This window comes from Homo sapiens, chromosome 9 (assembly GCF_000001405.40).
Source record: "Homo sapiens chromosome 9, GRCh38.p14 Primary Assembly".
Taxonomy (NCBI): Eukaryota; Metazoa; Chordata; class Mammalia; order Primates; family Hominidae; genus Homo; species Homo sapiens.
In genome coordinates this window covers 126246524-126261555 of record NC_000009.12, presented here as the reverse complement: position 1 = coordinate 126261555, position 15032 = coordinate 126246524, and positions in this window count along the sequence as shown.

Genomic DNA, 15032 nt, shown 5'->3' with positions numbered 1-15032 from the left:
CATGATTCAATTATCACCACCTGGTCCTGTCCTTGACAGCTGGAGATTATTACAATTCAAGGTAAGATTTGGGTGGGGACAGAGATCCAAACCATATCAGGTATGTATATAAAAGTTACACTATACATGCTATCTACTCGTGAATAGCAAAAAGCATTCCTATTAAATGCAAAAATAAACAAAAATGGGTGTGGTGGCTCACGCCTGTAGTCCCAACACTTTGGGAAGCCAAGGTGGGAGGATTGCTTGTACGCAGGAGTTTGAGACCAGCCTGGGCAACATAATGAGACTGTCTCTGAAAATAAAGAAGAAGAAGAAAAAAAACAAAACAAGTAAAACTGATTGCTATGACCACTTGTATTCAATATTGTACTGGACAAATACAATTAATAAGATAAGAAAAATATACGGATTGGAAAGGATAGAAGTGTCATTATTCCCAGGTAAAAATATCCTTGCTCACATTTGAAATAAGTTTTCAGGAAATCTACCAACAAACTATCAGAATAACAGAGTTTGGCAAGCCCAATAAATACAAATTCCATATACAAAAATTGATTGCCTTCCTCCATACCAGCAACAAATTATTTAAAAATGTAATTTTTAAAAAGATTCTACTCATAAGATCTAAAAGATATGCAAGAACTTTAAAGAGAACATTATGCAACTTCTTTGAAAGATATAAAAGACTTCTTTGAAGGATATAAATCCATAGATAAGTCATGTTAACGGCTGTGAAGACTCAATATCATAAATATGAAAATTTTATCTAAATTAATATATAGATTTGATGCAGTACCATTCCAAAACAAAAAGAGACTTTTCCCTGGAACTTGATAAGCTGATTTCAAAATATGTCTGCAATCACAGAGAGACAAGAAGAGCTATTTTTTTGATAAGTGTGTGTATCAGCCTATGAGTTCAGTGATAGGTTCTCCTGCCAGCTAAGAAAATGGAGTAATTTAAATTATGTGGCATTAGTGCGAAGACACACAAACAGGTCAAAAGAACAGAAAAGAGTCTGGAAACCGACCTATGTGTCTAAGGGATTTGCACAAATGGTGAGAAAAGGATAGAATATTTAATAAGTGATGCTATGATAAATGATCAAGGAGTGGTGGAATTAGAACATCACCTTTTGAAAAAGCCCTAAGGAAGCGATGGATCTAGACAATAATCTCCTATGGTTGCTAACATCCCAAAAATGTGATGTTAGATATTATATCCTTTACTGATGGAAGTACCCAAAATCCTGTTGGAAGTGCTCCTACCAGACATCAAACCTGAATGTGATCAAGTCTCTAGGCTGACTGACTGACTTTCAGCTTACAGGCAACACAAGGGCAGATGAACACGTTAAAGGATACCACAGGATCCAATCAGGCAGATCTAGAATGTGGGACTCTGTACAGAACAAGCAGTCTAGTTTCTTTAATAAAGAATTTTCAAGAGGAAAAATGAGAAAGGAGATACTTACAGATTAAAATAAATTTAGGAAACATCCAACCAAGTGCAGTGGATGGACTTTATTTGGCTTTTGATTAAAACAAACTGCAAAAAGAAAATGATATAATTTGTAGAAATTTCTTTATTGATATAAAGGCGTTGTTTTTTGATTTAATAATGTTATGGTGGTTAAGAGAGATCTAAAGTTTTAAAGGTTCATGTTCAAATATTTACAGATGAAGTTGTACAATATCTGGATTCCCTTCAAAATAATTCAAGAGAAGGAGTATTTGGAGGTAGAGATGAAATAAGATTGGCTGTGATTTGATCCTTATTGAAGTTGGGTGATGAGCGCATGAAGTTTATGATCCTATTCTTTCTTTATACTTTGGTGTATGTTTGACATTTTCTAAAATTAAACAAAGGGAGAAAACAATGCTGGGGTGATTTATTCATATAGAAAAGATAAAATTAAATTCCCCCCTTATTTCATATAAAAAATAAATTCCAGGTAGATTAAAGACTAATTGTTAAGTTGCAAAATTTTGAAACTTTTATAATATAGGAACACGTGTTTAGAACATGGAGATGGGAAGGATTTGCTAAGCAAGATAGAAAAAGCACTAAATCATAAAAGCAACCTGATACATTTTAGTACCTAAAAATAAAATATTTATATACAATAAACATATCATAAAGTGAAAGACAAACCACCATCTGGGAGAAACTATTTGCAACAAAATATTAGTCTCCACAATATAGAATGAACTTTTACAAATTAATAAGAAGAAAAATGGGAAAATGAGCAAAGGCTCTAAACAGAATGCTAGGAGAAAATCCAAATAGTAAATAAACAAGTGAAAAATTCTGCAAACTCACTCGTAATCAGGATAATGAAATTAGAGCAACAAGGAGATGCATTTCACATCTATCAATCAGCAAAACTTAAAAGCTGATGATACCTAGTGATGGAGAAGATTCAAGGGAACAAGAACTCTTGCTGGTGGGAGGGTAAACTGGTGCAACACTGGAGATATTTTGGTAGTATTGGACTAATCAATACGAAGGTGCACCTAACTTGTGACTTAGCAATTCCACTTACACGTATCTCCCCTCGACAAATTTTCCCATGTGCCTAAGAGACATGAATAAAAATGTTTCTCATGTACTACTTGAAATAGTTTAAAAAGAGAAACAATACTACACTACCTTAAAAAGGAAATGGAAAAATATTCACGCAATAAAATGCTAGCAAGCAGATACAAGGAATGCACTAAATCTATATGTATCAACATGAGTAAATATAAAAATCAGATTTTAAAAAGATATGAAGAGTATGCCACTGTTCACATAAATTTAAAAACGTGCAAACAACTTGTATACATTGCCGTGGATATACACTTATGCTGTAAACACATGGGAATGACATCCACCAACTCCAGGAGAGTGGTATTCTTTGGGGAGGGAGAGTGAGAAAAGAATGCAGGAGGGTTAGGTATGGCGAAATGTTAAACTGATAACACTGAAATGGGTATCTATCATCATTTTCTAAACTTTTTTTGTATATTCAACATATTTCATAATTAAAATTACTTTTTAAAGAAAATGCACTGATTTAATGCTCCAAACATTACCTTGTCATACGTTAATTAAAGATGAGATGCTTTTTCTATCTGGGAAATCCCAGATAATTAACTAAAAATTATTTACAGCTAATAAGAAATCGTGGTTACCCCAGGGGTAGACTTACTGAGGGGCTTTCACTTTCTACTCTTCTAAGTACTTCGCATTTTAAAATAATGAATGGGTAGTACTTATATATCCAGAAAACAATAATGATATTTTCATTTTGAAAATTAAATAAAATGGAGGGGTAAAAAGTCAAAAACTAATATGATTTGGTAAAGTAGCAGTTTGTAAAATATGGCAGGAATAAAAATGTATAAAGTAATATTGGGATAAAATATAACTCAAAAAACCAACTCAAATTATTAAACAACTAAAACATATGTGCAGACCTATGTGGGAAGGGCCATAAAACTTTATATAAAAGGAAGCTTGAATGAATGACAAATATCTGAGAATCAGCAAGAAATGTTCCGGAATGAGAACAGTTGACTGCAGATTTTCTGTGCAGATGTTAATTCTCCCCCAATTAATCTAAGAGTTTTTGAAACTCCAAGCAACACATGGGATTTTATTCTAAAACTCATCTGGAAAAATAAGTGGATTAAGACAACAGCTTTGGAGGGCCACAGACCATTGCAATGACTGAGATACTTTGTCCCTCAAGAAGCAATTTTTGCTCTCTTGGGGGCCATATCACACCCTTTGAGAAATGTATGCATTGGAGCCTTTGTACATTTCCCCCCTCTTGGGGTTGCTCTTATTCTTTTCAATTTTCAGGAATGCTTCATTTGTTTTATGAGTTGCAAATAATCCCATCCAGTTTGCAGTTTCTTGGGATTTAACTTCTTATGGTTTTTGCTTTACAAATGTTAAAAAATGTAGTTGAATTTATAAATCTTCCTATGGCTTCTGGGTTTTTTTTTTTTTTTGTCATATTAGAAAGGCCTTTGCCATTCCAAGATTATAAGTACAGTCTCCTGTAGCTTATGGTTTCATTTTCCATGTTTAAATATCTGAGCCACCAAAATTTATTTTGATGGTTTTGGGGTGTTTGTTTGTTTTAGAGAGACAGGGTCTCGCTCTGTTGCCCAGGCTGCAGTGCAGTGGCACAATCATAGCTCACCGTAACCTCAAACTCCTACCACTTCAGCCCCCTGAGTAGCTGGGACTATAGGTGCACAACATCATGCCCTGCTAATTGTCTTATTTTTTGCAGAGATGAGGGGGGCTCTCCATTTGCACAGGCTGGTCTCGAACTCCTGGCCTCAAGGGATCCTCCCACCTCAGCCTCCTAAAGCACTGAAATTACAGATGTGAGCCACCATGCCCAGCCTGGAATTTATTTTCATGTAAAATACAAAGTAGGGATTCAACTTCTTCCCCCCAGATGACTGCTTGGTTATCTCAAGATCTATTGTTGAATGATCAATATTCAACTCCCCTGCCCTGATTTGAAATGCCACCTCTATCATACATTAAACTAGCATTGATATCTGTGTATGCAAGTACTGCGCCTTTACTCCACTGTTCTACTTATTACAATGTGTTTTATTATCTGGTGCACTATTTTCCCCTGATTTCTTGGCATTTAAGAATTAGTTTCTTATTTTGGTTTGTTCATATTTAGCTGAACTTTAGAATTGGCTGGTTTCATCAAACTATACAGTTGGCATTTTGATGAGATGCTGATACATTTTAAATTAATTTAAAAAGAGCTGCCATCTTTATACTGAATCTTCCTACTCAAGAACATAAAATAACTTTCCATTGTTAAAGTCATGATGTGTGACCCTCAGTAGTATCTCAAGGCTTTATTCATTTATCTATTACACATTTTTCATTATGAGTATCTCATTATGATAAAATTCTGAATATTTTGTCTCATTATGATAAAATTACTGAATATCTCATTATGATAAAATACTGAATGTGTGCACATGGGTATTAATAATACATACATACTCTTGATTCTCCTTTTAATTTTGTTGCCATCCACATTATTGAACAATCTTATTGTTTATAACAGTTTTTTAGTTCAGTCTCTTGGGTTTTCCAGCTATACAATCACATCATCTTCAAATAAAGATAATTTAATATCCCACTTTCTTATTTTCATACCTCTAATGTCTTTCTTTAATTACATTGGTTATTTATTCCAGAACAATGCTAAATAATAGTCCAATAGAGTAATATTGGACATTTTTGTTCTATCTTGACTTTAATGGGAATGCTTGTAGTGCTTTTCCCATTAAGCATTAAGCATAAATTATTTTTTTCCTAATAAAAGTATCAACTAAAGGCTTATGGGTTGAGATGAATCTATTTTATATGCTAAAGAAATAACTATTTCTTTCTATTTTATTGAACGTCTTAAAAATTAAGAATATATATTGAATTTTTTCAAATGCCTTTTCAGTGTTTAGGAGATGATTCTATGAGCCATCTCCTCAGACCTATTAATATGATGAATTATATTAATAGATATTTCCCAACATTTTATTATGAAATTTTTCAAATGTATACCAAAGTTGAAGGAATCTTACAGTGAACAAACATATACCTACTACCTGCATTCTACCATTAACATGTTACTATACTTTCCTTATCATGGAATAGATAATAGATTTAAAAATATTGATTTTAATTGATCTTAAAATATTGAACCTTTCTTGTATTACTGTATTAAACTTCACTCGGTCTTAGTATATTAGTTTTATTTTGTTTTGAAGTACTGCTGTATTTCCTTTACTATTTTAATTTGGACTTTTGTATTAATCTTCACAAGTCTATTTTTGCATGTGGGCTGTATGTTTGCATCTCTTTGTTGGGTTTTGGGGGTCAAACAGTTTTGTTTCACAAAAACAGTTTAAATATCTTCTTTCAAATAGGCACTGGAACAATTTAAGTACCATTGGAATTACCTGTTTCTTAAATAATTGATATAATTCCTCTGTAGAACTGTCTGGACAGGGTTATTTTTTGAGAAGATGGATAAATCTCCACTGTTTTATATTTCCTCTATGGTCATTTGTCTATATATTATTTCTTTCTCTTCTGGAGTCAGTTTTGATAAATTATTTCTACCTAATAAAAGTATTCATTTCTTCTAGTTTTCAAATTTATTTACATAAAGTTGAGCAAAGTATCTCTTACAATGCTTATAATTATCTCTTTATTTGTGTTTATTTTCCAATTGTCATTATTATTTTGTGTGTTTTTACTTTCCTATTTTTGGATTAGGTTACCAAACCACTGATATATTCTTTTTACCCCCAAAGTATTAGCACTTGGATTTAGTGGAGCTATCTTTTTTCTCTTTTCTAACTTACTGGTGTCTGCTTTTCTCTTTATGATTCCTTCCTTTTGGTTTTCTTTAGTTTTTTTCCCCCTAATTTCCTAGGTTAAATACTTAGAGCATTTTAGCTGATTCTTTCTTAATCATAAATGTGATATCGAAGGCTATGAATTTTCCTCTGAGTGCTCACAGGCTATGAATTTTCCTCATAGATTTAATATTCAGGACATTCACTATTATTATTTTCTAAACACTTTCCAGTTTGGGGTTTAATTTCTTCTTGACCCAAGAATTGTTTGAGAGTTCTAAATTTTACAGATAGAATTTTTTTGTGTGTTTGGGTATTAGACTTAATTTTTAGTCTTACTGTGATCAAAGACTATTGTCTCATTATTCCTACCTTTGTTTTCTTTTTGAAGTAATATATGATCAATTTTGAGAATCAATAGAAGCACTAGAAAGGAATGTATAGTCAGTATTTTTTTTTTGAGATAGAGTCTCGCTCTGTCACCCTGGCTGGAGTGCAGTGGTGTGATCCCGGCTTACTGCAACCTCTGCCTCCCAGGTTCAAGCGATTCTCTTGCCTCAGCCTCCTGAGTAGCTGGGATTACAGGCACGTGCCACCATGCCCAGCTAATTTTTATATTTTTAGTAGAGATGGGGTTTCACCATGTTGGTCAGGCTGGTCTCGAACTCCTGACCTTGTGATCTACCTGCCTCGGCCTCCCAAAGTGCTGGGATTACAGGTGTGAGCCACCACACCCAGCCTATTGTCCATTTTTTTTTTTTATTAGTCAATGTGATTATATGAGACTTATCTCATTAGCTATGTTTTTAGGTCTTTTTTATTATTTTTTTTATGTGCATGTCATGAACTTAGAGAATTGAATTTAAATCTCCCACTACTAATGTGTTTCTATTTGTTTCTTCTTTTATCTCCTATTAGTTAGTACACAGATATGCATAGCTATGTTTTCATTAAGAGTTGTAGCTTTTAACATTATAAACTGTTCACCTTTGTATATCATCTTTTTTTAAATGGCTGAGAATACCATTGCATCACAATTTATTTAGTTACATTCCATTGTTAGGCATTGAGGTTTTCTCAATTTTTCTTTGACTTGAAGGAATCCTGTTAATTCAAAAAGAGCAATTGGTACTTCATCACTGTTTTGAGTTGCATTTCCCAATTAGTGTTAAGATTTAACACTTTGTTTGGTGATCATTTGCATTTATTTATTTATAAATTATTAATGTTTATAGTAGCTAATAGTTGGAAATAACCTAGATGTTCAACAATAGGAGGTTGGATAAATAAATTTCAGTATATTCAAATGATGGAATGATAATAGTTATCATTTATTGTACTTTATATACATTATATCATTTGATCTCTATAACAGTCCTGTAAGGTCATTATTATAACTTCTATTTGATTTGAAGATTAACAGATTTGCATGTATCAAGATACCTAAAATTGGTTGCTAGTGTGCCTAGTTTAATTAGCTGTGTTTTTTTCTCTTGATGGTAACAAAAGGTAATTCTTACAATTGATTGCATATTAGATTCAATAAAATGTGGTATTTCCCCTGTTTCATAAATAATGATACTGAATCTCCTAGAAGCATATAGATTAAACTGTTAAAATGATTCTCTCTGTGTGGGAAGATTATAATAAAATTTTATTTTGTTTCCTTTTGCTTGTCTATATTGTATGCTTTCTTCAATATGTACATGCAAGTTTCCTAATAAGAAAAAGTAGAATTGCTTTAAAAAATGAAGAAATAAAATTAGATTTCCAGTTCACATTATTCATCAAAATTAATTCCACATAGTTTACAAAATTAAATATAGCAAGTGAAGAAATTCTAGTCATACTGAGATTGTGGCAGCAGTATAGTTTTTAATTAAACCAAAACTTTTCCTGAAAATCAACAGAACAGCAAAAGGTAAAAAAAGTCCACAGGCAATCTCTTTAATAAAACTAGATGATGATTCTCTGTAAACCCCAGTGTTGGAGCAGATATGGCCAAACTCCTGGGAGTACCAGAAAGTACTGGACAGGGTAGCAGCTGTGAATCAGAGCACCAGAAGTGAAGATAGACTGTTGAAGTGAAGACAGACTGCTGAGGGGCACTCTGAACCACAGAACCCCAAAAATCCCTAAAAAAATTACATACTCCATCCAGAGCAGGCTCTGGGCAAGCAGATCTGAGAATCACTGTCAACACTGGGATGTGGCTCCCCAAAATGCCAGTTAGGGGTAAGTTCAAAAAACGTGATGCTGAAGGATGAATTCTATGAGAGGTCTAAATCCTGAAGGATTTAATCCTTATCCACAAGACTCATTCCAGAAGTTTAATATTGAAAGAAAACATCTAGAAAACAAATCCAACAGGGAAGGAAGCCTAGGGGTAAGTGAGAGAAAAGGTTCAGATAGTAGGAAGGAAGTCGTTGAGAGCATATTTTGCCATATTGTAATAGCAAATTTAAAAATGTAAAGTCTAAAGCAGTGCTGTCAAAAAGAAATACAATGTGAGCCGCACATGCAAGCCATAATTTTATATTTTTTAGTAGTCACATTAAAAAGTAAAAGCAAACATGCAAAATTAATTTTAATAATACATTTTATTTAATCTAGTATGCTCAACATGGTATCATTTCAACATGTATTAGTCTGTTTTCATGCTGCTGATAAAGACATACTTGAGACTGGGAAGAAAAAGAGGTTTAATGGGCTCACAGTTCCGTGTGGCTGGGGAGGCCTCACAATCATGGCAGAAGGCAAGGAGGAGCAAGTCAGGTCTTACATGGATGGCAGCCGGCAAAAAGAGAGCTTGTGCAGGGGAACTCCCCCTCATAAAACCATCAGATCTCATGAAACTTATTCACTATCATGAGAACAGCATGGGAAAGACATGCCCCCATGGTTCAATTATCTCCCATTGGGTCCCTCCCAAAACATGTGGGAATTCAAGATGAGATTTGGGTGGGGACACAGCCAAACCATATCAAGAATCAACAAAAGAAGTATTAATGAGCTATTTTGCTTTTTTCCATACTGTCTTTGAAATATGGTATTTTATATAACTCAATTCAGATTTGACACATATTAAGTGCTACATGTGACTAGTGGCTACAATATTGGACAATGAAAATTTAAAGCTTAGAGCATTACCTTGAAGAGTAAGTCCCATAGCGCTCCGGGAAACCCAGGGCTAGAGGCTGTATGCCTTTTTGACCCAGGCTTAATTCTGAGAAGCTAAAAAGCAGTTACATGGAGAGACCACCATTTGAGTGTTTCATAATAATAAAAGAAAAGGTAAAGAAAGCCATCTGGCCCATCTCTGCCCCTTCTATAGAAGCTTTCTTCTAAGAATCCAGGAAAAACAACTTTTTAAATTCAAGAAACAACAACAAAATACAATCTAACTCCAAGCAAAAGTTTTTACAAGAAAGAAAAGGAAATAAAAATAAACTAAATACTATTGTGATAGATGACAAGAATGTATGTGGACACAAAGCTAAATGAGCTGAAAACAATTGTGAAAATAAAAGAAGCTTTGAAAGAACAGTACACAGCAGAAAGAGAAGAGCACAGAAATGAGATGGCCTGACAACAGGAGGATTTCTAAAAATCAGATCCAATTGGAAAACAGAGAGAAAACAATATTTTTTCAGAAATGAAGATTAAATTAGAAGAAACACAAGGGTAAGTAAACATCTCCAAAAGAACAGTAATAAAAATAGAGAATATAGTCTAGGTGTGGTGGTTCATGCCTCTCAGTAATCTGGGAGGCTGAGGTGGGTGAATTGCTTGAGCTCATGAGTTCGAGACCAGTCTGGGCAACATGGTGAAACATTTTTGTATTCTAATAAAAATACAAGAATTAGCCAAGCATGGTAGCACATGCCTGTATTTCAGCTACTAGGGAGGCTGAGGTGGGGAGGTTGCAGTGAGCCAGGATGGTGCTACTGCGCTCCAGCCTGGGCAATAGAGCCAGATTGTGTTTCAAAAAGGAAAATAGAGAAAATAGAAAAGTGAGGAAGATCAAACAGAAATAAAGAGATAATAAGGATTTGAGAGAAAGTGATAGATACAGAAGTTAGGCAAAGGAGATTCAACATACATACAATTCAAGGCTCTAGAGAATAAAGCCTAAACAACAGAACAGAATACATATTTTAAAACTGAATTTTAAAAAGTATTTCCTGAAATATAAGAAGGTTTAATCTCTGCAGTGAAAGGGCACATTCTGTCCTAAGAAAATTAGCCTAGACTGGTCAACACTGAGACTTTGCTTGGTGATGTTATTGTTCCTTAAAGACAAAATGAAAATCCTTTAGGCATGCAGGTAAAAAACTCCAAGTTATTTCTAAGGAAAAGAAAATCAGAATGGAATCAAGATTCTAGACAGTAACATTTTATGTTTTAATAATAGAGCAACATTTCAAAGATATTTAAGGAAAGAAAATAGGCCAAAGATTTTGTATCTGGGCAAACTGTCCTGCAAATATGAAGGCTACCAACCAGTTATGAACATGAAAGAACCCAGAGAATATTATTTTCATGAGACTCTCCTAAGGAGAATAGTAGAGAAAGATGTTTAGACAATTAACAAATCATTGGATTTATAAGTTTTGTGGTCAGCATTGAATATATTTAACTGAAAACCTAAAGTGAAAAGATAAGGATAAAGGTGATTGATACAGTTTGGCTGTGTTCCCACTCAAATCTTATCTTGAATTGTAGCTACCACAATTCCCACGTGTTGTGGGAAAGGGAGGTAATTGAATCATGGGGCAGGTCTTTCCTGTGCTGTTCTTGTGATAGTGAATAAGTCTCATGAGATCTGATGGTTTTATAAGGGGGAGTTTCCCTGCACACACATTCTCTTTGCCTTCTGCCATCCATGTAAGATGTGACTTGCTCCTCCTTGCCTTCTGCTATGATTGTGAGGCCTCCCCAGCCATGTGGAACTGTGAGTCCATTACACCTCTTTTTCTTCCCAGTCTCAAGTATGTCTTTATCAGCAGCATGAAAACAGACTAATACATTACATGTTGAAATGATACCATGTTGAGCATACTAGATTAAATAAAATATATTATTAAAATTAATTTTGCATGTTTGCTTTTACTTTTGTATGTGACTACTAGAAAATATAAAATATAAACTGTGAGTCCATTAAACTTCTTTCCTGTATAAATTACCCAGTCTCAGGTATGTCTTTATTAGCAGCATGAAAATGGACTAATACAGTGATAAAACTATATGTATCTAATTCTGGGTCCCAGTAGGAAGCAGAAGGTATATTGGCAAAAAGAAGGTCTATTTACAAAGGGATGACTGACAAAGATAGGAAACAGTGACTGTAAGGAATGGTGCACTAACCCCGGGCCTACCACTAGGTCCCAAGGGATGAGAGAAGTGATTTTTGGATCTAAAGTCAACTGGGCTGGGTGCGGTGGCTCATGCCTGAAATCTCAGCACTTTAGGAGGCAAAGGCAAGAAGATCACTTGCATACAGGAATTTGAGACCTGCCTGGGCAACACGGCAAAACCTCATCTTTACAAAAAAAATAAGAATTAGCTGAGCATGATGGCATGCACCTATTGGTCCCAGCTACTTGGGAGGCTGAGGCAGGAGGATCGTTTGAGCCTGGGAAGTTGAGGCTGCAGTGAGTGGTGATCATGCCACTGCACCCAGCCTGGGCAAGAGAGTGAGACCCTGTATCAAAAAATAATAATAAATATTATAAATAAATAATAAAAATAAAAATAATAAAAATTAGGTGGAGAAACACTGCCAACCTAGGAGGATTAGACAGGAAGCCTGGGAATCACTAACCTGAATTCACTGAATTCACTCTTCTCCTTTCCTTCAATGTCCTTTGGGCTCCTCCTCGGCTGAGGTGGAGGTGGAGGACATGGGAGGTGGTGGACACAGGAACTTGTTCATGAAATCCACACAGGTGAGAACAGAGAAGGGTAGAGAGTGCGGATCCGGATGGCAAATGGAAGGGCTCAGAGACAGTGTGTGAATGCAGTGTGCGCTGGCAGTGTAGAAATAGCACAGCCAACACACATGGGACACAAAGTGTAGGGACTAATTGCCTCGGAGGCACTAGCTGGAAGTAAAAGGATGTCATTTGAAGCCTCCAAATCAAGAAGGAAACTTAACTGTACTCAAGGGTACAGAGAGTACAGAGAGTAGCTCCAACCTAAGAGCGGTGACTAAAACTGGGTAGGGAGGGAAGGAGAGATAGGGGAAGAGTTCATGAGCTGATGTCAGTATTGCTCATAGCAGGGAACCAATATAATCTCCAGAAAGAGAGAACCAAGAGCATTACATAAACCACATTCCTGTGCATAAAAGGAATACAAAGAGCAAGCAGACCACATAGGGAAAGATGGTGTGTGTGTGAGTGTGTAGGCACATAGACATCGGAAGCCAAATGACAGGACAAAACTTAAGAAACATGTCCATCAGACTTTAAATTTACAAAAGAATGTGATATCAATAATGTAAAAAGGGCTTTAACTCGCCTTTTAATGGTAGAAAATCATAAGAATATTGGATAATATATTTCTTTTCTTAGGGGTAGAGCCGGGGGCTTTGTGGAGGTAGGGCTTTTTGAGCCTGTATGAGAAGGTATTAAGTATCTCCAAAGAAAAAGATGGAGAAACTTGACTTCTTAAAAATAAAATCCTAGGCCAGGCATGGTGGCTCACGCCTGTAACCCCAGCACTTTGGGAGGCTGAGGCGGGTGGATTACCTGAGGTCAGGAGTTCGAGACCAATCTGGCCAATGTGGTGAAACCCCTTCTCTACTAAAAGTACAAAAATTAGCCAGGCGTGGTGGCCCATGCCTGTAATCCCAGCTACTCAGGAGGCTGAGGCAGGAGAATCACTTGAACCCGGGATGGGGAGGTTGCAGTGAGCCGAGATCGTGCCACTGCACTCTAGCTGGGTGACAGAGTGAGACTTTGTCTCAAAAAATAAATAAAATAAAATAAAATCCTTAAAGAGCATTAATAGAACAAATGAAACTATAAAACAAGTCACAAAGTAAGAAAACCTATTGTCAATATATGTGACATGCAGAATTGGTATCAACATATAAAGAACTCTTACTAATCAGTAAGGAAAAGACAAATACTCAATATCAAATAGGCAAACAATACCTTCATAATTCACAGAGGTCAAAATACAAATGGCCAGCAAAGTTCAGACTCTCTAGAAATCAAAGAAATGATTATTAAACTAATAATAGGGAATTCTGCCTGTTAAATTAAAAGAGATTATTTTTTAAAGAATTTGGTAAAAATTCACAACAGTGAGATCCGTTGTTGACTGCTGATTCAAACTAGTACTGCATTTTGGGAGAATATTAAAATTGTTCAAATTACATACTTTTTGACCCTGACAGTATACCTGTAAGAATTTAAGAAAATTATTGTGAATTTATGATTTCATTTATCCAACCAATATTTGTTGATTTGTAAGAGGAACATTTTTGTTGTTGTGTGCTGAGTATTCATGAACATTTATTATCGCTAATAACTTTGAAAAGCTGAAAACAGGGGGTCACTGAATTGTGGTCTAATGTTAGAATGTTAGAACAATACTTAGCTATTAAAATGTGTTTAAGAATGGTTATTAGTAAGGGGGATGTGTTCATAATATACCATTTGAAAACATCAAGCTACAAAGTGAGCATGATTCGTACGTTACACACACATCCACTCAATAGGAGGACCTTGTCTCCTCAGTGAGGAATGATGTCTGTGAGAAAGGCAGGAAGAAGACAGCACTCTGTAACTTAAGTCTGGCTTGTGAATAAACAGTAAAGACTGAGAAGGCTGAGTGAGGCCTTCAGGAGATGATACTAGATCTGGCTAGTAATTTGCAGAGCCCAGTGGGAAATAAAAAATGCAGGGCCCCTTGTTCATAAAGCAAGGGAAACGTTGGAAAAAAGGTATAAAATGTGCTGAAATATAAACCCTTTTCCTTTCCCCCATGGTCTCTTTCTCTCTGGGCTTGTCATGATATTTTTTTGTTTTTGTTTTTGTTTTGAGATGGAGTTTCGCCCTTGTTGCCAAGGCTGGAGTACAATGGTGTGATCTCAGCTCACCGCAACCTCTGCCTCCTGGGTTCAAGCGATTCTCCTGCCTCGGCCTCCCAAGTAGCTGGGATTACAGGCATGTGCCACTACACCTGGCTAATTTTGTATTTTTAGTAGAGACGGGGTTTCTCCATGTTGGTCAGGCTGGTCTCGAACTCCTGACCTCAGGTGATCCGCCCTCCTTGGCCTCCCAAAGTGCTGGGATTACAAGCGTGAGCCACCGCGACCAGTGATACTTTTTAATAAACAATTTAATGTCATTCTAAGTAAAAACACCTTTAAAAACATAAGTTATTAGCATCCATTTCTCTATTCATCTTTATACTGTGCAATGAGAGTTTTAAATGCAAATATAAGAACATTTAACTAGCATGCAAAACATCAAAATTATACAATTTGTCATTTGTGGCTCAGACTTACATATAGATTTCTCTCTTTTTTGAGACAAGGTCTCACTCTGTTGCCCAGGCTGGAGTGCAATGGCATAATCATGGCTCACTGCAACCTCTGCCTACCGGGTTCAAGCGATTCTC